Source organism: Homo sapiens, chromosome 9, assembly GCF_000001405.40.
Source record: "Homo sapiens chromosome 9, GRCh38.p14 Primary Assembly".
Classification (NCBI taxonomy): domain Eukaryota; kingdom Metazoa; phylum Chordata; class Mammalia; order Primates; family Hominidae; genus Homo; species Homo sapiens.
The window spans coordinates 34,260,161-34,283,592 of record NC_000009.12 but is presented as its reverse complement, the minus strand read 5'-3'; the positions used below and the strand labels follow the sequence as shown (position 1 = coordinate 34,283,592).

The 23,432-nt window shown below is 42.5% G+C and overlaps 1 protein-coding gene and 1 pseudogene across 10 annotated transcripts in view; both read left to right on the top strand.

Moving 5' to 3' along the window:
* Positions 1–23,432, top strand: part of KIF24 (kinesin family member 24) — an 81,292-nt gene that overhangs the window by 50,079 nt on the left and 7,781 nt on the right. For 8 of the 10 annotated variants that reach the window (XM_011517863.4, XM_047423343.1, NM_194313.4 and 5 more), the window contains 3 exons: positions 11,663–11,784; positions 14,231–14,336; positions 20,421–20,492. In XM_011517863.4, the coding sequence (XP_011516165.1) occupies positions 11,663–11,784; positions 14,231–14,336; positions 20,421–20,492 (300 nt within the window). Of the gene's footprint in view, positions 1–11,662; positions 11,785–14,230; positions 14,337–20,420; positions 20,493–21,910; positions 21,988–23,432 lie in introns of those variants that run through there. The other 2 variants (XM_006716764.4, XM_047423340.1) reach the window with 2 other exon arrangements.
* RNU2-50P (RNA, U2 small nuclear 50, pseudogene) lies at positions 923–1,065 on the top strand (annotated as a pseudogene).

Here is a 23,432-nt window from a genome sequence, read left to right as displayed (position 1 = left end):
AATGCTTGCTTGTGTCGTCCTCAAGTCAATTAAATCAGAATCCCTCAGGAGTGGGGCCCAGGTGTGGGTATTATTATTATTTTAAATTAAAATGTAGTTCATATACCGTAACATTCACCTTTTTTAAAGTGTATGATCCACTAGTTTTCTTAATATAATTTTCTTATTGAGATATAATTTACATACCATAATATTCATTCTTTTTTTATTTTTTATTTTTGAGACAGGGTCTCACTCCTATTGCCCAGGCTGGAGTGCATTGGCGCGATTTCAGCTCACTGCAGTCTCAGTCTCCCTGGGCTCAGGTGATCCTTCCCACCTCAGTCTCCTGAGTAGCTGGGACTACAGGTGTGTGCCACTACACCCGGCTAATTTTTTTGGCATTTTTAGTAGAGATGGGGTTTCACCATGTTGCACAGGCTGGTCTCAATCTCCTGGACTCAAGCAATCCTCTCACCTTGACCTCCCGAAGTGCTGGGATTACAGGCATGAGCCACCATGTCCGGCCATAATATTCTTTTTTTTTTTTTTTTTTTTTTTGAGACGGAGTTTTGCTCTTGTCGCCCACGCTGGAGTGCAATGGCTCGATCTGGGTTCACTGCAACCTCTGCTTCCCAGGTTCATGTGATTCTCCTGCCTCAACCTCCTGAGTGGCTGGGATTACAGGCTCCTGCCACCATGCCCACCTAATTTTTGTATTTTTAGTAGAGACGGGGTTTCACCATGTTGTCCAAGCTAGTCTCGAATTCCTGACCTCAAGTGATCCACCAGCCTTGGCCTCCCAAAGTGCTGGGATTAGAGGCATGATGCACTGCGTCCCGCTCAGTTTTTTAAAGCATACAATTCATTGTTTCTCAGTCTTTTGGCTAAGATCAAATGTAGTATCTTTTTTTTTTTTAAGACCAGTGGTTCAGAATAGAAAGTGTAGTATCTTTTCTCAGCAGTTTAACATGTTCTATTCAAGGACAACCTATTAAATGGATTTTTGGAACAGGGAGATGGAGTAGGAGCTTGCTCTGTCCGCTCCATGCATTGACTTGGTAGTGCAAGACCTCCAGGAATGGTGCATCCTCCCTGAGGGATTTTTTTTTTAAGTATACAATTCAGTGATTTTTTAAAAGTATATTCATGAAGTTATGCAACCATTGTCACTATCTAATTGCAGAAAACTTTCATCACCCCAAAATGAAACTCCATTAGCAGTTACTCCCTATTTCTCCTGCCCCCAGTGCCTGGCAACCACTAATTTCTATCTCTGTGGATTTGCCAATTCTGTCCGTATCATATAAACAGAATTATACAATATGCAACCTTTTGTCTGGCTTCTTTCACTTAGTTTATTTTCAGAGTTCATTCATGTTGCAGCATGTATCAGGACTTCATTCCTTTTTGTGGCTGAATAATATTACATTGTATGGATACCTCATTTTATTTATCCATTCATCAGTTGATAGACATTTGGGTTGTTTCCACTTTTGGTCATTATGAATAATGTTGCTGTGAACATTCATGTACAAAGGTTTTTGTGTGGACAAGTGTGTTCCATTTTCTTGGGTGTATGCCTAGGAGTGAAATCGCTGGGCCATACTTTTTTTAGGAAATGCCACACTGTTTTCCAAAGTGACTTTACCATTTTATACTCCCACCAGCAGTATGAGGATGGGTATTATTTTAAAAGCTCCCCAGGTGATTCTAACATGCAGCCATCGCAGTCTTTCTTCTAGTACATCCAACAAGCCTGGCTAGAGTAAAAGGGAGAGGACTAGAAGGATAGGCCAGGCACTTAACAAGACTTAGCTTAGTATAGCTTCATGGTACACTCCTCCAGGGAGAAGTATCTGAGTCTTCAACCAAGCTTAAGAGACCAGGGAAAGCAGTCAGGTTTGGCATTGTAGAAATGCCTCCAGCGAATGCCAAAGTTCAAGCCTCTCTAGCTGATTCTACTCTTGATCTTTCCTGCCTTCCTTTTCACTGTGTTCTAATAATAATTGCAAATGTTTAGTGAGCACTATCTACCAAATGCTTTGTTAGAGGTTTTTGCAAATATTACCCCATTTAGTCATCACAAAATCAAGGTAAATATTGTAAACTTCTCTAAGAGGTGAAAATACTGAGGTTAAAATCAAGTGATAACCCAGAATCACATAGCTAACAGCTGGCAGAGCAAGATTTCAGCTTGGATTGATCTCACTCTGAAGCCTTTTTCACGATACTCTACTACCTATAGTGTATAATTAGAAATCAGTTTTTCTTAAGAAATTAAGAGAGGCCAGGCATGGTGGCTTACGCCTGTAATTCCAGCACTTTGGGAGGCCGAGGCTGGAAGGTCATTTGAGGTCAGGAGTTTGAAACCAGCCTGGCCAACATGATGAAACCCCACCTCTACTAAAAATACAAAAATGAGCCGGGTATGGTGGTGGGCGCTTGTAATCCCAGCTACTTGGGAGGCTGAGGCAGGAGAATTGCTTGAGCCCGGAAGGCAGAGGTTGCAGTGACCAGAGATCGTGCCATTGCACTCCAGCCTAGGCAACAGAGCAAGACTCCATCTCAAAAAAGAAAGAAGAGAAAAGACACTCACTGAATGAATTAATACATTGATAACAATGTCTTCTGTTATCATTTGCCTAAAACTAGGTGTTTAAAGGACTGTTTAATCTTCAAATAACAGGGTTTGTGGAAAATTTTGTTGTTGCTTTTTCAAAATTAATACTTGGGACTTGGGTGTGTGCAGTGGCATGGTGGCCCATCATTGGTATATATCTTTTTCTAAGTTTCTTTTTCCTGAGACAAATACTGTAGTTAAATTTTGCTTAAGGGATGACACTTCACGTTTGCGTTATTAGATTCCTGGGTCCTGGGATCCAAAACCTGAGTATAGCGCCCGAGTGTGTCTGTTTTAGTGCAATCACTAAGAGCCTCTTTCTAGTGATTGCAAAGGTAGGTACAGAACAAAAGTGTGTGGGGCATGCTGAAGGGCTGCCCTGGGGCTGTGACCATTCTCCCCAGAGCTTCCTCTGCTGTGGAGTCCTAAGGAAATTGTTTCTCATACTCTGTTCCCTGTGGTCCTCTTGCCCCTACCTCCAGCCACTCCCACATTTGGCCAGGAGCATCAGGTGAGTCTGGTCCTCAGGATTCCTTTGTCACTGAAGATTAGACCAATTAAAGGCGAAAGAAGCAAACACTCAGAAGAAGACTCTTCATTGCCTTTAGACTGTAAATGCTGGCAGTCTGGTGTTGAGTCAACCCCTGCATCCTGGAAGAGTTTATGGCACTGTTCTTTTTTTTTTTTTTTTTTTTTTTTTTTTTTTTGAGACGGAGTCTCGCCCTGTCGCCCAGGTTGGAGTGCAGTGGCGGGATCTTGGCTCACTGCAAGCTCCGCCTCCCGGGTTCACGCCATTCTCCTGCCTCAGCCTCCCAAGTAGCTGGGACTACAGGCGCCCGCCACTACGCCCGGCTAATTTTTTGTATTTTTAGTAGAGACGGGGTTTCACCGTTTTAGCCGGGATGGTCTCGATCTCCTGACCTCGTGATCCGCCTGCCTCGGCCTCCCAAAGTGCTGGGATTACAGGCGTGAGCCACCGCGCCCGGCCGGCACTGTTCTATTCTAAAGTATGGTTCCTAAGAAAATCAGAAAAAAAGTTCCTTGTTAGTCAACATATTATCGCCATTGATACCCTCAGTCTGCAGGACATATGGTGTTGTACAAGGAGGAAGCCAGCTGAGATCAAGGTGGAAAGCTTATATAATTTATGGATACCTGACACAGTTATCCTCATAAATAAATATTTATTGACTTGAAACAACAGCACTTGCTAACTCAGGTGTCACATTTCACTCTCAGGTGTCACTGTTCATACTCGCTCAGGTATCACCCATGTGTTTGCTCAAGTGTCATCTTGGAGTATTACCCTCTCAGATCACCCTCAGGATTACTCAGGCATGGCCTGCCTGCACAACTGGTAGCTTCATTATTCAAATGGGATTGTCCTTCCTCCAGGAAGTTTCTCCTTCCCAGTGTATTTGATTTCTTGCCAACGCAGGCACCAGAACTTCCTGCCTTTACAGAGGACTCACTGCCTCATCACATTTCCCAGATTTGGAATCGAGATTTTGTCAGACAATTAATGGGCATGTTTTTCAGTTTTAGAGATTCACAATTTTTTACAGTCATTCCTATACCCATTTTATATAGTCAGAGGTATTCATTCCTAGGAATTTTGATAAACTTGTTTCATGTTTTATCATTGCCTTGGCTGTAATGGGCAGCCAGTTACAGTGCCATGTATCCTTAAGCACATCCTTTATCTCTCTGAGCCTGAAACATGTAGATAATGATAGATGATTGGGTTGGATGATGGGGAGAAGGAAGTGAGATGACATACATAAAATTTATAGTATGATGCTGGCTCAACTTTCCACATGTATTATTCTTATTAAGTCCCTGAATGATGTTTCCCAGCACCACCACAGTTTTTCGTTTTGTTTTTTTGAGGTAGAGTCTCACTCTGTCACCTAGGCAGGAGTGCAGTGGTGCAATCACGGGTCACTGCAACCTCAACCTTCTGGGCTCAAGCGATCCTCCCACTTCAGCCTTTGAGTAGCTAGGACCACAGGTGTTCACCACTACACCTGGCTAATGTTTTTAAAAAATTTGTGTAGGTGTTGCCCAGATTGGTCTTGAACTTCTGGGCTCAAGTGATCCTCTATCTCAGCCTCCCAAAGTGCTGGGATTACAGGCATGAGCCACCACACCAGGCCCAGTTATCATTACTTCCTATTGTAGCAGATTCCCATTTTACTATTCACGTAATATGTTCTCTCTAGAGAACCTAGATTTAGAAACTTGCCCAACAGAGTTTAGTTAGGGAAGGAGTTTGAGAAGGAGGAGGCAGTGAGAGGAAAAGGGAGCTTAGTAGTTTTAAAGGTGATTGCATTAATTTTGCTCACCTCCTACAGTTGCATTTCCCCCAAATAGATTCTCTCTTTCTCTTATCTGCTTCCTTCCTTTTTTTTTTTTTTTGGTTTGCTCTAGGGAGCCCATGATATTTCATGTTGATCTCTAAAGCTATATTTTTCCATGAAACTGATTGTTTTACATTTATGAAAAAAAGAAATAGTTTAAGTTTTAGAAGTTTACACAAAGATGTTAGTTCGTTAGTATCTTTTCTTTTTGTTTTGTTTTTGAGATGGAATTTTGCTGTCTTGTCCAGGCTGGAGTGCAGTGGCATGATCTTGACTCACCGCAACCTCTGCCTCCCAGGTTCAAGGGATTCTCCTGCCTCAACCTCCTGAGTAGCTGGGATTATAGGTGCCCACTACCCACGCCTGGCTAATTTTTGTATTTTTAGTAGAGATGGGGTTTCACCAGGTTGGCCAGGCTGGTCTCGAACTCCTGACCTCAGGTGATCCACTCACCTCGGCCTCCCAAAGTGCTGGGATTACAGACGTGAGCCACCGTGCCCGGCCAATTTTTGTATTTTTAATAGAGATGGGGTTTCACCATGTTGGCAAGGCTGGTGTCAAACTCCTGACCTCAGGTGACCGCCCTTCTCAGCCTCCCAGAGTGCTGGGAGTACAGGCGTGAGCCTCTGTGCCCGGCCATAATTCCCATTTTATAGATAAGAAACTGAGACCCTTAAAAGTTAAGTGACTTGCGGTAGTCTACACAACCACATGGTAGAGCTGGCATGTGAACCCTGGCAACCTGACTCCAGATTTCACCGTTTTAACTGCTATACTTCAGTTGTGTATGTCATTTACAAAAATGTGATGACTTTGATATTCACAGACTGCCTCATTTTTACTCTTCATAGCTCAGGTGCATTATTATATAGTTTCTGGAAGGCATGACTACAGCAAGCTGTTATTGGAAAAAATTGGCCCAAGGACCAGAAACTCCTCATGCCTTCTCTAAAATATATTTAACCAGGAAAGGGCATCTCAACATGTTAGGTCTCTGAGATGCACTTAGAGATACCCAGTACATTATGGTGTACAAGATGCAGTGAAAACCCAAGTTCAAAAGTCTGTAACACAATCTCAGAAGCCAATCTTTTTTGACACTCTTGAGGAAGAACCACAGGGCCGCCCTTTGCATTTCCTGTTCATATCCACGTTTCCTTGTGAAGTATGGTCTTGAGGCCTCTCTGAGCTCTCACTAGGTCTCAGTGGACTAGCATCATTAGTAACATCATTACTCACATGTAGAAGAGGATATCTGGCTTCTATTCCTGGCCTGACAATATTCTACCTATGTGACCTTGTATAAGTCACTTAGCTTCTCTGTGTTCCTTATTAGTCAGACATATTGCTTTTACAAATGTAAAGGTTTAAGACCTCCCTTGTCTTTTCATAGGATTTGTAAATGACAAAAAAAAAGACCTGTAAGAAATCTAAAACTCTAAAAGGAAATATACCAGAATTTTATAATCACTGGGATTATGAGAGATATATATTCTCTTCTTTATCCTTTTCCTATATTTTCCAAGTTTTCCACAGTAAGTTTGTCTTTTCTAATGAAGAAAAAAAAGAGTTTGAGAAAGGAACGATACCAATCTATGATGATCCATCAGCATCGCATCCCAGCCTGTGTAAACATGAAGTGAAAGGGACAGGGAGAAGCCAGGGCCAGAAAGTGCATTTAAACCAGATGGTTCAGTCACAGCGCTGGCCTTAAGTGTCTTACCCAGCATCTGAGCTTAGTTAGCAGTGCTTTTTTCTCAGCACTTGCCATATCCAGTATAAGAGATTACCACTGTAGCTCTTATGATTTCATTAGCTTAAAGGTGGTAGCCATATAGTTGATGATCTAGCTTTATAAATTAGCAGTCTTCTCTTTACAAAAGGATTCATCATGTTGTCTCTTTAAATTTTTAGCAAACTTTTTACAAAATGGGTGTATTTAAGTATGATTCTGAATTTTGATTTTACATCTCACATACAGATAATCTTTAGAAACATACTATTGCTTAGATCATGGAAAAAATATTTTTAGTTAATTAAATTTCTAAAAAGCAACCACTACTACTTGTTAAGATATTTTATGTCTTATTGTTGAAGTTTGGCTCTGTCAACTTTTGGATTCTTAATTTGGAAACTGTGACTATGTTCAATATGATATAAATTAAAATGGTGAGAGATTGAGAAAAAATGAAATAGGACTTTCTTATTCTTTTTTTTTTTTTTTTTTTGAGATGCAGTTTCACTCTTGTCCCCCAGGCTGGAGTGCAATGGCACGATCTCAGCTCACTGCAACCTCCGCCTCCTGGGTTCAAGCAATTCTGCTGCCTCAGCCTCCTGAGTAGCTGGGATTACAGGTGCGCACCACCATCCCTGGCTAATTTTTTGTATTTTTAGTAGAGACGGAGTTTAACCACATTGGTCAGGCTGGTCTCGAACTCCTGACCTTGTGATCCTCCCACCTCAGCCTCCCAAAGTGCTCGGATTATAGGCGTGAGCCACCGTGCCCAGCCTCATTATTCTTAATTCACTGCAAAATAAATGAATTTATTGTAAGTGCCCCACAGTGTAGTGAAAAATACATGGACTTTGGAGTCAGATGTACTGGATGTGGAATTTGGCTCTGCCACACAGCAGATGTTTGACTATGAATAAATCAACCTGAGTTTGTTCCTCAACTGGAGATGTTGAACAAACTCAGAGGAACAAACTCAAGAGGTTGTTAGGTGGAGATAATCTTTGTATTCGCCTAACATTAGGCTGTGGTGAGGATTCTATCAAATAATTTTTTTTTTTAGACAGACACTCGCTCTGTCACCAGGATGGAGTGCAGTGGTACAATCTTGGCTCACTGCAACCTCCGCCTCCTGGGTTCAAGCTATTCCCCTGCCTCAGCCTCCCAAGTAGCTGGGACTACAGGCGTGCATCACCATGCCCAGCTAGTTTTTTGTATTTTTAGTAGAAATGGGGTTTCACCATGTTAGCCAGGACGGTCTCGATCTCCTGACCTCGTGATCCACCCGCCTTGGCCTCCCAAAGTGCTGGGATTACAGGTGGGAGCCACTGTGCCTGGCCCAGTTATTCTTTTTTTAATTTGTAGAGATGAGGTCTTGCTTTGTTGCGCAGGCTGGTCTCAAACTCCTGGGCCCAAGCGATCCCTACCTCAGCCTCCCAAAGTTCTGGGATTACAGGCATAAGCCACCAGGCCTGGCCTCAAATAACACTGTTGTTGTTGTTTTTGAGACAGAGTCTTGCTTTGTTTCCTAGGCTGGAGTGCAGTGGTGCGATATCAGTTCACTACAACCTCCACCTCCCGGGTTCAAGCAATTCTCATGCCTCAGCCTCCTGAGTAGCTGGGACTACAAGTGTACATCACCATACCTGGCTAATTTTTGTATTTTTAGTAGAGATGGGGTTTCACCGTGTTGGCCAGGCTGGTCTCAAAGGCCTGCACTAAAGTGATCCACCTGCCTTAGCCTCCCAGACTGCTGGGATTACAGGTGTAAGCCACCATGCCCAGCCAATAAAATATTGTTGACTATAGTCACCCTGTTGTATTGTCAAATAGTAGGTCTTATTCATTATTTCTTTTTTTTGTGTACCTATTAACCACCCCTACATCCCCACTACCCTTCCCAGCCTCTGTGGTAACCATCCTTCTAGTGTCTATGTCCATGGGTTCAATTGCTTTGATTTTTAGATCACACACATAAGTGAGAACATGTGATGTTTGTCTTTCTATGCCTGGCTTATTTCACTTAACATAATGATCTCCAGTTCCATCCATGTTGTTGCAAATGACAGGATCTCATTCTTTTTCATGGCTGAACGGTACTCCATTGTGTACGAGCACCACATTTTTTTAATCCATCCTTGTTTAAGTTCTTTCACTTTACTCTTTTTTTTTTTCTTTGGAGACAGATTTTGCTCTTGTTGTTCAAGCTGGCGTGCAATGTTGCGATCTCGGCTCACTGCAACCTCCGCCTCCCGGGTTCAAGTGATTCTCCTGCCTCAGCCTCCCATGTAGCTGGGATTACAGGCATGTGCCACCACGCCTGGCTAATTGTTCTATTTTTAGTACAGACGGGGTTTCATCATATTGGTCAGGCTGGTCTCAAACTCTTGACCTCAGGTGATGCACCTGCCTCGGCCTCCCAAAGTGCTGGGATTATAGGTGTGAGCCACTGCACCTGGCCTATCCATTCATCTCTTGATGGACACTTAGGTTGCTTCCAAATCTTGGCTATTGTGAACAGGGCTGCAACAAACATGAGAGTGCAGATCTTGTTTATGTTTTACTTTCTGGGACATATCCTTAACTTACAACTTCAAAAAAAAACTACTAAATCTTACAACCTTTTATTTTATTTAATTTATTTTTCCCCCTGAACTTGATAGTAGGTGATTATTTTTTAAGAGATGGGATTTTTGTCCCCTAGGCTGGGGTGCAGCTTACTGCCTCAGCCTCCTGTCTGGGACTACAGGTGTGCACCACTATGCCCAGCTGATTTTTGTAGAGTTGGGGGTCTCACTGTTTGCCCAGGCTGGTCTTGAACTCCTGGGCTCAAGTGATCCTCCTGCCTCAGCCTCCCAAAGTGTTGGGATTACAAGCATGAGCCACCATGCCCAGCCTAAATCTTACTACCTTTTAAATACAATTTTTACTTTATCATATTTTAAATTTCCAAGTGCTTTGTCTATTCCCTCTTTTGGTTTGGTGTTTTCATGCTGGTGGCTTTGGCTTTCTATTCACGTTTAAGTATGAGGCACTAAAAAAATAACAGTCACAAAGTTTGTGTGTCAGAGGTGTGCTTGCTGATCATTAAGCTTCACTATAGGTTGAAAGTTAATTGGCTTTGCCGGGGAAGTCCCCAAAATGTAAACATGTGAAGGGCTTGGGTGAGGGTTTCTCCAGAGAATTCTGGCTGAGGACTGATGTTGGGGAATGCTGGTGTGTTGCTTTTACTTAATCCTTGTTTAAGTTCTTTCACTTCACTCTGCCCCACACTGTGCCTGGTGCTTAGTCCTCTTTGGTCTCTGGTTCCCATTTTCTGGAGACTATACCTTCTGCCTCCTGCACAGGGTGGGGATGAATGGGGACTGTTTCACCAAGGGCTTTACTGCTCTGATCACTGACTGTGTGTATCTTTGCCTTATCCCAACAGTACCTGGTGCTTCCAGAGTCTGAGCCCCTCTTAGGGATCCTAATGGGCTGATAGACTGACTCCCCCCTTTCCTACTTACTTACTTAGTTTATAACTTCATTGCTGGCAATTACCATCCCTTCATTATCTTTCCACATTCTAAAATTTCATTGAAATATATCACACCAGTAATCCCAGCATTTTGGGAGGCCGAGGTGGGAGGATTGCTTGAGCCCAGGACTTCGAGATCAGCCTGGGCAGCATAGCAAGACCCCATCTCTGTTTTTTTATTAGAAAAAAAAAAGAAAAAATACATTGTCCACTGCTACCCCCTTTTCTTTTACTGGCTTTAAAAGTGAATACAGTTTTAAATCTTTATTTTTAAATTTTTATTTATTTATTTTTTTGAGACAGGGTCTTGCTCTGTAATCACAGCTCACTGCAGCCTCGACCTCCTGGGCTCAAGTGATCCTCCTGCCTCATAAGTTCTGAGAACTTCTGAGAAGCTGGGATTACAGGTGTGAGCCACCATGCCCGGCCCAAATAATGTTTTTAAAGTTCTTTGTGGCTGGGTGAGGTGGCTCATGCCCATAATCCTACCACTTTGAGGGACCGAGGAGAGAGGACTGCTTGAACTCAGGAGTTCAAGACCAGCCTGGGCAACATAGTAAGACCATGTCTCTACAAAAAATTTTTAAAATTAGCCAGGTGTGGCGATGCACACCTATAATCCCAGCTACTCAGGAGGCTGAGCCGGGAGTACCTCTCAAACCCAGGAAGTCATGGCTGCAGTGAGCTATGATCATACCACTGCACTCCAGCCTGGGTAACAGAGTAAGCCCCTATTTCAAAAAAATTTTGTTTTGCCTTTTTTATTCTCAGTAACTAACACTCATACCCCTGTCCAAACTAAGGGCAGCATGTTCTTAAATGGCTGTGTTTTCAGTGGCTGCAGGCCAATCCTGACGCTTCACCTCCCCTGCCCCATTCCATGATGGCCGGAAGGACTCCTGTTAGTCTTTACTCCCAGTCTAGGGTGAGTGAGGATTAGTCTCAAGGGAAATCATGGGCTTATGGTAATTACAGTAACTCATCACTTCCATATTTCTACATCGGGCCTGCCCTCCTTTATGACTGCATCCTGGTAGAACAGGTGGATGTGATTAGTCATTCTTTAATGCACATTTATGTCCTTTGCCTTGGTTACTAAGATAGATGGGTATTAGGAGTCCTTGCTTTGGAGCCAAGTTATGCCCTGGGGATTTTAGTTAGGCTAAATCCATCAAAGATACTAAAAAAAGTATATGAGATCAAGAAGTAAATTAGCTCTTGAGCTATGGAATGTTCTTCCACAGGATTAGTATTTCACATTGTTTTCATTGTCATTGGGTACTAACTAGGTATAATTTAGTGTTTGAGCAGTTTTCCACCTGGACAGAAAAAACTGCAGTGCACTGACACAATTATATGTCTGCTGTCTACTGCTCTTAGCCAACTCTTAGTAGCCAGAGGCTTTTGTTTACTCCTTGGGGAAGTCATCCTGTGGATTTTATTTTCAGGTGATCTTAAAGGGCAGCAAGGAGCGCAGCACTGGGGCCACTGGAGTTAATGCAGACTCCTCCCGCTCCCATGCCGTCATCCAAATTCAGATCAAAGATTCAGCCAAGAGGACATTTGGCAGGTGAGCTGGAAATATCAGGGAGTTACATTGTCTGCCTTTCCTTTAATGTGACTTTGAAGTATGTTTTCTCAACAACAGGATACCCTGCTACCATGGAGTTCTTCATTGCAGGGATACAGAGTAGAGTTGTTAGCCCTGAAATAAATCATTGTACTAAAGTGTCAACAGTTGATTAACCATGAAGTAATGACCTATTGTTGGTCAACCCTAAGTTATTAAAAGGGACATTGATTGCTTCTAACATGAAACACAGTTTCAGCAGAGAAACAGTAGGGAATGCATCTCAGAGAGCTTACACGCCAAAAAAAGGTAGGGGGAGAAGATTAATCCATTCTTCTTGAAAGAAGCCATAAGACAATTGGATACATTCATTGCCTCTCTGGTGCTCTCTTAGCAAATAATCTGCCACACTGATGGATGAGCCTATTTCACCTCTGAGTAATGAATGTTTTTCTTTTCTTTTTCTTTTTTTTTTTTTTTTTTGCTGGATTGCTGTCCGCAAAAGTTTCTATGTAATTACCTAAGTGGTTACTTAAGTGATTAGCATTGTGGTCATTTAGCCTTTTGGGAAGAATGTTTTATTAATTTTAGTCATACTTTCTCATAAATTATTAAAACCAATAGACATGTTTGAGTGGACAGTACCAGCATCAACTGACAGATCAGAATCTTGTGATACTCTTGGAAAGCTGACACTCATGTTTCTTTGTTTGTAAGATAGGGCTTCACTCTGTCACCCAGGCTGGAGTGCAGTGGCATGATCATAGTTTACTACAGCCTGGAACTCCTGGGCTCAAGCATTCCTCCTGCCTCAGCCTCCTGAGTAGCTGGGACTACAGGTATGGACCACCACACCTAGCTATTTTTTTTTTTTAAGAGACAGGGTGGATGTGAGGGAGATCTGGCTGCGACATCTGTCACCCCATTGATCTCCAGGGTTGAGACGGGGTCTCTCTGTTTTGCCCAGGCTGGTCTCGAACTCCTAGGCTCAAGAGTCTGGCAACAGAGCGAGACTCCGTCTCAAAAAAAAAAAAAAGGTAAAAATTAAGTGGTAGGCTGATGGTGGCTGACATCTGTAATCTCAGCACTTTGGGAGGGCAAGGTGAGAGAATCTCTTGAGCCTAGGAGTTAGATCAATGGGGTGACAGATGTCGCAGCCAGATCGCCCTCACATCCACCCCGTCTCTTAAAAAAAAACATAGCTAGGTATGGTGGTCCACACTTGTAGTCCCAGCTACTCAGCCTACCAGCTAATTTTTACAATTTTTTTTCTTTTCTTTTTTTTTTTTTTTTGAGACGGAGTCTCGCTCTATTGCCCAGGCTGGAGTGCAGTAGCACAATCTCGGCTCACTGCAAGCTCCGCCTCCCGGGTTCACGCCATTTTCCTGCCTCAGCCTCCTGAGTAGCTGGGACTACAGGCACCCGCCACCACGCCTGGCTAATTTTTTGTATTTTTAGTAGAGACAGGGTTTCACCATTTTAGCCAGGAGGGTCTCGATCTCCTGACCTCATGATCCGCCCGCCTCAGCCTCCCAAAGTGCTGGGATTACAGGCATGAGCCACCATGCCCAGCCAATTTTTTTTTTTTCTTGAGATGGAGTCTTGCTGTCGCCAGGCTGGAGTGTAGTGGCGTGATCTTGGCTCACTGCAACCTCCGCCTCCCGGGTTCAAGTGATTCTCCTGCCTCAGCTCCCAAGTAGCTGGGACTACAGGCATGCACCACCATACCCAGCTAATTTTTGTATTTTTAGTAGAGACGGGGTTTCACCATGTTGGCCAGGGTGGTCTTGATCTCTTCACCTCGTGATCTGCCTGCCTCGGCTTCCCAAAGTGCTGGGATTACAGGCATGAGCCACCACACCCAGCCAGTTTTTAGAATTTTTTAAGAGATGGGGTCTTGCTGTGTTGCTTAGGCTGGCCTAGAACTCCTGGCCTCAAGCAGTGCTCCACCTCAGCCTCCCAAGTAGCTGGGTTTATAGGTGTGAGCCACCACACCCAGCTCAGTAATGTATTTTCTTTCCAGAGGATGGGCCAATGTTAATTTCTTCCAGTGGTCACAGAATGCTGGCTGATACAAAAATAAAGCTTCTGGCCAGGCGCGGTGGCTCATGCCTGTAATCCCAGCACTTTGGGAGGCCAAGGCGGGCGGATCACGAGGTCAGGAGATGGAGACCATCCTGGCTAACACGGTGAAATCCTGACTCTACTAAAAATACCAAAAATTAGCCGGGCGTGGTGGCGGGCGCCTGTAGTCCCAGCTACTCGGGAGGCTGAGGCAGGAGAATGGCGTGAACCCGGGAGGCAGAGGTTGCAGTGAGCCAAAATCGCGCCACTGCACTCCAGCCTGGGCGACAGAGTGAGACTCCGTCTCAAAAAATAATAATAAAAATAAAATAAAATAAAATAAAGCTTCACAGAAGTCACTCCTGCTGTGTCTTTTCTCTAGGATCTCTTTTATTGACTTGGCTGGCAGTGAAAGAGCAGCAGATGCAAGGGACTCAGATAGACAGACAAAGATGGAAGGTGCAGAAATAAATCAGAGTCTACTGGCTGTAAGTTGTTCAAAATCTTTAATCTAAAAATCCTTCTTGAAAGACTGCCCATTACATACAGGCAGAGTGGATGAATGTGGGATGGAATCAGCAAAGCAACTGCCCTGTTCTTATGTAGTAATAGAATGCCAGGGTTGGAGATAGAGGGCTGACCAGACAGACTCTCACAATTCTAGGCAACTATTTTCTTCTCTCCTTGCCTTCTTTTCCCCTGGTCAATCCATGCCAATTAGGAACAGAAGTATTTCTGCAGTTGCTGAATGGTTAACTCCGCTAAGCTTTCTCTCTTTCCCCAAGCTTTAAAATTATATTAATTTTTCAAACATAGAAAAGTAGAACAAATAGTATCATGATCTCCCATATACCTGTCAGATTCAACAGTTACCAACATATGAAAAATCTAAGCAACCCCTTCCCTCCCCCTGGTTGGATTATTTTAAAGAAAATCCAGCTGGGAGCGGTGGCTCACGCCTATAATCCCAGCACTTTGGGAGGCCAGGGCAGGTGGATAACTTGAGGTCAGGAGTTCGAGACAAGACTGGCCAACATGGTGAAACTCTGTCTCTATTAAAAATACAAAAGTTAGCTGGGCGTGGTGCCGAGCGCCTGTAATTCCAGCTACTCAGGAGGCTGAGGCAGGAGAATCGCTTGAACCCAGGAGGTGGAGGTTGTAGTGAGCCGAGATCGTGCCATTGCACCCCAGCCTGGGTGACAGAGTGAGACTCAGTCTCAAAAAAAAAAAAAAAAGAAAGAAAATCCTAGTCATCATGTCATTTATTCCATAAATATTGTATATATCTCAGCTGGGCGCAGTGGCTCACGCCTGTAATCCCAACACTTTTGGAGGCCGAGGCAGGTGGATCACTTGAGGTAGATCAGCCTGGCCAACATGGTGAAACCTTGTCTCTACTAAAAATAACCAAAAATTAGTTGGGCATGGTGGCAGGCTGTTACAACCCCAGCTACTCGGGAGGCTGTGGCAGGAAAATCTCTTGAACCCAGGAGGTGGAGGTTGCAGTGAGCTGAGATCATGCCACTGCACTCCAGCCTGGGCAACAACAGAGCAAGACTCCATCTCAAAAAAAAATTTTTTTAAATGTATCTCAAAGAGATACTTTTTAATGTAGCCATAATGCCATTATCTTACCTAAAGAAGTAATTCTTTATTATCCAATAAGTATTATAATTCCTCTAATTGTCCCATAAGTGTCTTTTTATAGTTAACTTGTTCAAATCAAGGTGCCAATAAAATCCTATGTGAGTTCTTATTCCCTCTTTCATTTTTTCTATATCAGTGTATTGGTTGAAGAAAACTGGGTCACTTGTCCTGTAAGATTTGCCACATTCTGTACTTGGCCACCTGCATCTTTGTGTTGATGTTTAACATGTTACTCATTATCCTTTATGTTTCCTGTCAGGTGGCTAAGCTCTATAGCCGTGTTGTTCACTATGGCAGCCACCAGCCACATGTGGCAATTGAGCACTTGAAATGTGGCTGGTCTGAATTAAGATATGCTCTAAGTGTAAAATACACACTGGATTTTGATTACCAAAAAAGCTTGTAGAATATCTCATTTATTTTTTTCATATTGACTACATGCTGAAATAATATTTTGGATATATTGAGTTAAATAAAATATATAATTAACATTAATTTTATCTGTTTCTTTTTCTTTTTTAAAAAAAGATATGACTATTAGAAATTTAGAATTACATATGTGTTTTGCATTTGTGGCTCATGTATTATTTCTGTTGGGACAGTCCTGAATTAGAGATGTGATCAGATTTAGGTTCTATATTTTTTGGCAAAAACAATTCATAGGTAGTTCTTAGATTTTCTGTAGCAATACATTAGGAGATAGAGAATGTCTAGTTGTCTCTCTTTGTGATTTTAAGATTGAAAAGAGATTCAAGTGTTGTCAGCCTAATTTCTCTATTATAAAGTTTCCTTTCAGCCTTTATTTTTTATTTTATTTTATTTATTTTTACTTTTCTTTCCCCTTAGTCTCTGTTAAGGACATGCCATTCAGCCGTTTTTAACCTAAGAATTTTATCAGCCATTGAAGAATCTCATCTATATCTATTATTTTATTAAGAGTTCCAGAATGGTGATATTCTAATTCTAATATTCCTTCTGTATGTATTAGCTGAAAAGAATAATTTTCCCTCAACTATCTGATTTTCCTGACATACAGTTTGTAGTGGAAGCAAGATGATTCTTTAATTTATTCACCACTTTTCAGAATGAGTTGGAGTTCATGTTACCTAAACATAATATGAGTTTGTTTTATTGTTGTTGTTTACCTTTTTTTCTATTATTATAAACTGAAATCATTATATCTTTTTTTGCTGCTTAAATTCAACATATTTAGCCAATAGGAGCTGTTTCAAGAATGTTCCTGTGTCTTTTTGGTACAACCCTACTCGTTCTTGATAGCTTCCTGGCTTTCTGATATGACAAGAGCCTATGTTCTAGGCTCATTTTATACATTTCCCTCTCCAGACCTCGAATCAGCCATTTCTTCAATGAGTCTTGGTTTCTTTTTCTTTCTTTTTCTTTCTTTTTTTTTTTTTTTTCTGAGATGGAGTCTCACACTGTTGCCCAGGCAGGAGTACAGTGGCACAATCTTGGCTCACTGCAACCTCTGCCTGCTAGGTTCAAGCGATTCTCCTGCCTCAGCCTCCCGAGTAGCTGGGATTACAGGCACCTGCCACCACAACCAGCTAATTTTTTGTATTTTTAGTAGAGACCCGGTTTCACCATGTTGGCCATGCTGGTCTTGAACTCCTAACCTCGTGATTCGCCTGCTTCGGCCTTCCAAAGTGCTGGGATTACAGGCATGAGCCACCGCGCCTGGTTGAGCCTTGGTTTTTTTGAGACGGAAATGGTGTTTAGAGACTTCAGTCTGTGTATTAGGGGTGCTTATCACTACTGTGTTAGCCCTTGCTTCTGGGCCTTTTCTGTGGACAGAGCTAATAAATAAGGTGTTATTTTTTGTTTTGAAAAGGAAAAATATATGTGGTATATGTGGGATTTATAGTAATAAATTAGTTTAAGATTGCAGGCCAGGCCCAGTGGCTCACACATATAATCCCAGCACTTTGGGAGGTTAAGGTGGACAGATCACTCGAGCCCAGGAGTTTGAGACCAGCTTGAGCAACATAATGAGACCCTGTCTCTGCAAAAAACTTAAAAATTAGCTGGGCGTGGTGGCACACGCCTGTAGTCACAGCTACTTGGGAGGCTGAGGTGGGAGGATTGCTTGAGCCCAGGAGGTTGAGGCTGCAGTGAGCCATGATTGTACCACTGCACTCCAGCCTAGGCAACAAAGCAAGACCCTGTCTCAAAAAATAAACTGTCTCGTCTGAAGAAAGCCAATGAATAATAATATTAAAAAAATAAATAAAATTAAAATTACACAGTTTTTATTTAATTTATTTAAATGTTTATTTGTCTCTTTTTTCTGTTATGCTAGAAATCTTAGTTCCTAGCAACATTTATTTGCTCTACTTTAATATATATGTATTTCAAAATAATGCTAATATTATTTATAATATGATTAATTCAGTTCAAGATTTTTATCGCAGTTTTCTTTTTAATTGGGTTGTATCCCACTAAGGATGTACAGTCATAATATTATGCTGTCAAATCACCTGAAATAATTCTTCTCTGTGTGTTTAAGCCTGCCAATTTCATAGTGTTAGGTTCATTTGTTTGGTTTTGGTTTTACGAATTGCCTTATTTATTTTGATTTAACCTTATTTTGTAATTATTTTAAAACATTTAGGCCAGGAGCTGTGGCTCACACCTGTAATCCCAGCATTTTGGGAGGCCAAGGAAGGAGGATCACTTGAGCCCAGGAGTTCAGGACCAGCCTGGGCATCACAGGGAGACCCCTGTCTTTACAAAACATTTACAAATTAGCTGGGTGTGGTGGTGCGCACCTGTAACCCAAGCTACTTGGGAGGCTGAGGTGAGAGGATCACTTGAGTCCAGGTATTCAAGGCAGCAGTGAGCTGTGATTGTGCTACTGCACTCCAGCCTGAGATACAAAGTGAGACCCCATCTCTTAAACAAACAGCAAAAAGCAAAAAAAATTATGTGGTTTTAAAGTAAAAATTGTAAAATAAGCCACATTCAAAGAAGTATAGTTTCCATCCCTGTACTCTCAACCTTGTTACCTTCCTCCCCTTGTAAAATCATTTTTCTGTCTATATATATGTTTGCACTCACCCCTTTTCTTAGAAAAAATGCTAACATACTCTCAACACTATTTTGCACTTCGCTTTTGTCACTTAACGGCATCCTCAAGATCACTGCATGACTGTACATAGAGCTCTTCCTCATTCCTTTTTCCAGTTGTATATGCTGCCTTGTGCTGCTCCACATTATTTACTTATTTTTTATCAGAACTGAAGTCTCCAGGTAGGTACATTCTTTCCAGACTTCATGAGGGGTAAGTTGGGAGGGTGAGAGAGGGAGCCAAACTTTTTTTATTTAAAAAAAGAAAAAAAGCTTGTAGGGATTGGTGGCCACGCTTGAATTTGAGTCTGTGAGGAACAGGGTTTGATTACTTGTTCGTTCTCAGTGGAGAATCTTCTCAGTGCTAAAGTTGGGGAATACTGGATAGATTTTTAATAAAAGAGGAAATTTCCTCACACCTGTTTATACCCTGCAGCTTCTTGGATAGAGGTAGGGCAGTTGCGGGCATCTGTGGCTGCTGCTAAGAACAGCCATAGCACACTCTGGAGGCAAACTACCTATTCTTGGTGGCAATTCCAAGGGATTGCTTCCACCTTCTTCCCTCTTTTTTTTTTTTTTCTCTTGAGACGGAGTCTCGCTCTGTCACCCAGGCTGGAGTACAGTGGCATGATCTCAGCTCACTGCAACCTCTACTTCCCAGGTTCAAGCTTTTCTCCTTTCTCAGCCTCCTGAGTAACTGGGATTACAGGCATGTGCCACCATGCCCGGCTAATTTTTTTTTTTTTGTATTTTTAGTAGAGACAGGGTTTCACCATGTTGGCCAAGCTGGTCTCGATCTCCTGAGCTCAAATAATCTGCCCGCCTCAGCCTCCCAAAGTGCTGGGATTACAGGCATGAGCCACTGCACCCAGCTCCTTTTCTTTTCTTTTACTATCTTTTAGCCTAGATGCATCACTCAGAAATAGAAGGTCTCTCCTCCCTCATCTTGCCCCCCACGACCCCCACCACTGTTTCTGATGGGAGTGTTTCCCCTGGAGGTCCACATATCCAGATCTCTGCTGTCCTTATCATGTCCAATGAGCGCTTCTCACTGAGGGAGTACAGCCATGAGCAAGGAACATTCCTTTGCCTTTGGGCCACAGACCCTGCTGTTTTTAAATGAAGGGTCGTTTTTAATTGTGTGTGGTCAAAGTGCTGGCTGTAATCCCAGCACTCCAGGAGGCTGAGGCAGGAGGATCATTTGAGGCCAGGAGTTTGAGACCAGCCTGGGCAACAATATACAGAGACCCCCATCTCTACAAAAAAAAAAAAAAATTAAGAAAAAAATAAATAAAACGAGGGGGTAGGCCTAGGTGATTTCTCAGTTTCCTTCTAGCTCTGGCTCTAGAATTTCTCCTACCCCATTCAGATAGTTTATATCTGAATCTATGCTTGACTCTACGCCAACGGGTGTGCATGTGTGAGCAGGGAGTGGGGAAGTGGATATAGATATTTTGTCTGTTTAAGTGCATCAACAGTTGGGAAGAATGTGAGGAGAGAAAGGGAGCCAGCAAGCCAGAACTACCACCACATGAGCTTGAACTCTGGGACTTGAGGGTAGGTCCCAGCGTCTGTCTGTTCCCCGCCGTCAACTCAGGGGCAGTCCTAGGATCCCAGCCTCTAAGCTGGGAGGCCTTCAGCTAGGCAGCACAGGATGGTGTTTCCCAATCTAGCTTGGTTTCTCTTGTTGAATGGAAACTACAGGCCATTTTGACTTCCTTTTGGAGGATTGTCTGAGTGTGGTTTATTGAAGAAAAACAAGCTTCCTGTGGAGGCGGCATCAGGTCTGTTACTCTCCCTTTGCACTTGATACTTGATGTGCTTGTTCTCCCACTTTGCAGCTGAAGGAATGTATCCGAGCACTGGATCAGGAACACACCCATACTCCCTTCAGGCAAAGCAAACTAACTCAGGTAAAGTTAAATGTGAGCCTTGAGTTTGTTCTGATTCATTCCTTTCTTCCTTATTTCATGTATTTGTTCATTCAGTCGAGCATCCACTGTCAGTAAGACATGATGCTGGGCACAGTGGGGAAAAGAGAAGGAGAGGAGTGAAATTCCATCCAGGAACTCTGTCTACAAGTTGAGTATCATTAATCTAAAAATCTGAAATCTGAAATGCTTCAAAAATCAAAACTTTTTGTTGTTGTTTTTGAGACAGGGTCTTACTCTGTCACCCAGGCTAGAGTGCAGTGGTGTGATCTTGGCTTACTGTGGCCTCTGCCTCCCAGGCTCAAGCAATCCTCCCACCTCAGCCTCCCAGGTAGCTGGGACTACAGGCATATGCCATCATGCCTGGCCATATATATATATATATATATATATATATATATATATATTTTTTTTTTTTTTTTTTTTTTTTTTTTTTTTGGTAGAGACAGGGTTTCACCATGTTGCCTAGGCTGGCCTCGAACTCCTGAGCTCAAACGATCCGCCTGCCTCAGCCTTCCAAAGTACTGGGATTACAGGCATAAGCCACCATGCCTGGCCAAAATTAAAAACTTTTTGAGTGCCATTATGCTCAAAGGATTTCAGATTTTTGGGTTAGGGATGTGCAACCAGAAGGATAATGCAAATATTCCAAAATCTGAAAAAAAATCTGAAATCCAAAACAACTTTTCTTCCCAAGCGTTTCGGAGAAGGGATACTCAGCCTGTCATAGGACTTTAGGAAGGGGCAGACTCAGGCAGGGATATCTTCAGGATGGGGTGGCAGGGGTTCCTTGGGGAGAGCAGTGCTGTTCTGGTCACCACCTTTCTGTTTATTTCCAGTGTATGGTAACTCTGGGCAGGGCACAGTGGCTCATGCCTGTAATCCCAGCACTTTGGGAAGCTGAGGCAATTGGATCACTTGAGCCCAGGAGTTCCAGACCAGCCCAAACAACCTTTCTATAAAAAATTTAAAAATTAACTGGGTGTGGTGGCTCGTGCCTGTGGGCCCATGGTCCCAGCTACTTGGGAGGCTGAGGCGGGAGGATTACTCGAGCCCTGGAGGTTGAGGCTGCAGTGAATTGTGAGCACGCCACTGCACTCCAGCCTGGGCGACAAAAAGAGACCTCATCTTAAAAAAGAAAAGAAAATGTTGAATTAGTGAAATCTCTAAGCCTTTGCATTGAATAGGGTGACGTAGCTACCTGATACTTTCTTGGCTCTAAGACTTAGACCACTGTTTCGGCACAAAAAAATAATGGCTTCAGGCAGTTAAAATGAATGAGCTAGATTTTCTATATGTACTGATAGGAAAGATGACCAAGATCTATTGTGATGTGAAAAAAGCAAGCTGTAGAACAAGGTAATAATGTGATTGCCTATATGATTTCTACTATTACGCAGCCACACAGGGAAAAACGTTTAAAAAGATGCAGAAGAAACAGCATTGGATCTATTTGGAAGTAACAATGGGAGTAAAGGTGAAACTGCAACTTTTCATGTTAAAAGATCATGTACTGTATGACCACTTTCTGTTTTTATCATTTTTAAAATGTGCGACATGGAAAAAAACACTACACAAAAAAATGACATAAATGTTAACTATGATTATTCTTAGTGGAACAAATAGGGTTTTTGTTTTGTTTTGTTTTTCTGTCATGAAAGTGTGCCTCTTTATTAACAAAAAACTCCAGTAGATGTTAAATCAGCATTCATAATGGCTGCGGAAGAGTGGCATGGGAGGGTGTACCTAGGTATAAACAGCTGTGAAGACAGTTGTGGGTGTCCTGGGTTCTTTTTCGCCTTGTGTCCTGTGCACAGTGGAAGACAGACAAGGTAGAGAGATGTCTAGGAGAAGATTTTTTTGTATGCTGCAGGATGAAGCCAGCCCCGCACATGGGCAGAGTTTTATTCTGTGCAGCTAGAGTAGCGGCTCCATAGTACTTGGGCAGAACCTGTAAAAACATAGTTCCTTACCCATCACAGTTGGTGATCTGTAGGTTAGGTCTTCTCAAACATGATTTTAACCAGGGACCCAGGAACCTACTTATAGGTGGTTAGTCCTGATTCTGGCATTGGCTCTGTTGCTTTTTACTTATTTATTTATTTATTTTTGAGAGGGAGTCTCACTCTGTCGCCCAGGCCGGAGTGCAGTGGTGTGATCTTGGCTCACTGCAACCTCCACCTCCTGGGTTCAAGCGATTCTCCTGCCACAAGCCCCTGGAGTATCTGGGACTACAGGTGTGTGCCACCATGCCTCACTAACTTTTGTATTTTTAGTAGAGACGGGGTTTCGCCATGTTAGCGAGGCTGGTTTTGAACTCCTGACCTCAGGTGATCTGCCCGCCTTGGCCTCCCAAAGTGCTAGGATTACAGGCATGAGCCACCGTCCCCAGCCAGCTCTGTTATTTTTTAAGACAAGTTCCCCATTTCCAGAAAATGTGTTTCTTTTTAATTAAAACATAAGAATTCCAATTGTACATACAAGTATAAAGAAGAAAGTAAAAGATAAAGTCCCAGACCTCAGTGATAACCACACACTGCTACGTTAGTGAACTTCCTTCTAGTCATCTCTCTGCCCGCATAGCCTCATATGGATCTGCTTACGGAGTTATGGAGTCATACACCTTTTTCCCTCGAAGATAGAAGCTTTAGATATCTTTCTGTGTTCCTAAGTACAGGTATAATCATTTTTAATGGTTTTATTATATTCAGTGTATAATTATTTAGTTTGTTCCCTGTTTATAGATACCTAGATTTTTACTAAATATTACTATTATAAATAATGTAATGAATATCATATATACTTTTTTTGGTCAATTGGGCAATTATCTCCTTAGGATAAAGTCCTAGAAGTGTGATTGCCAAACCAAAACATACTTTTTCCTGTTTTTGAGACAGGTTCTTGCTATGTTGCCCAGGCTAG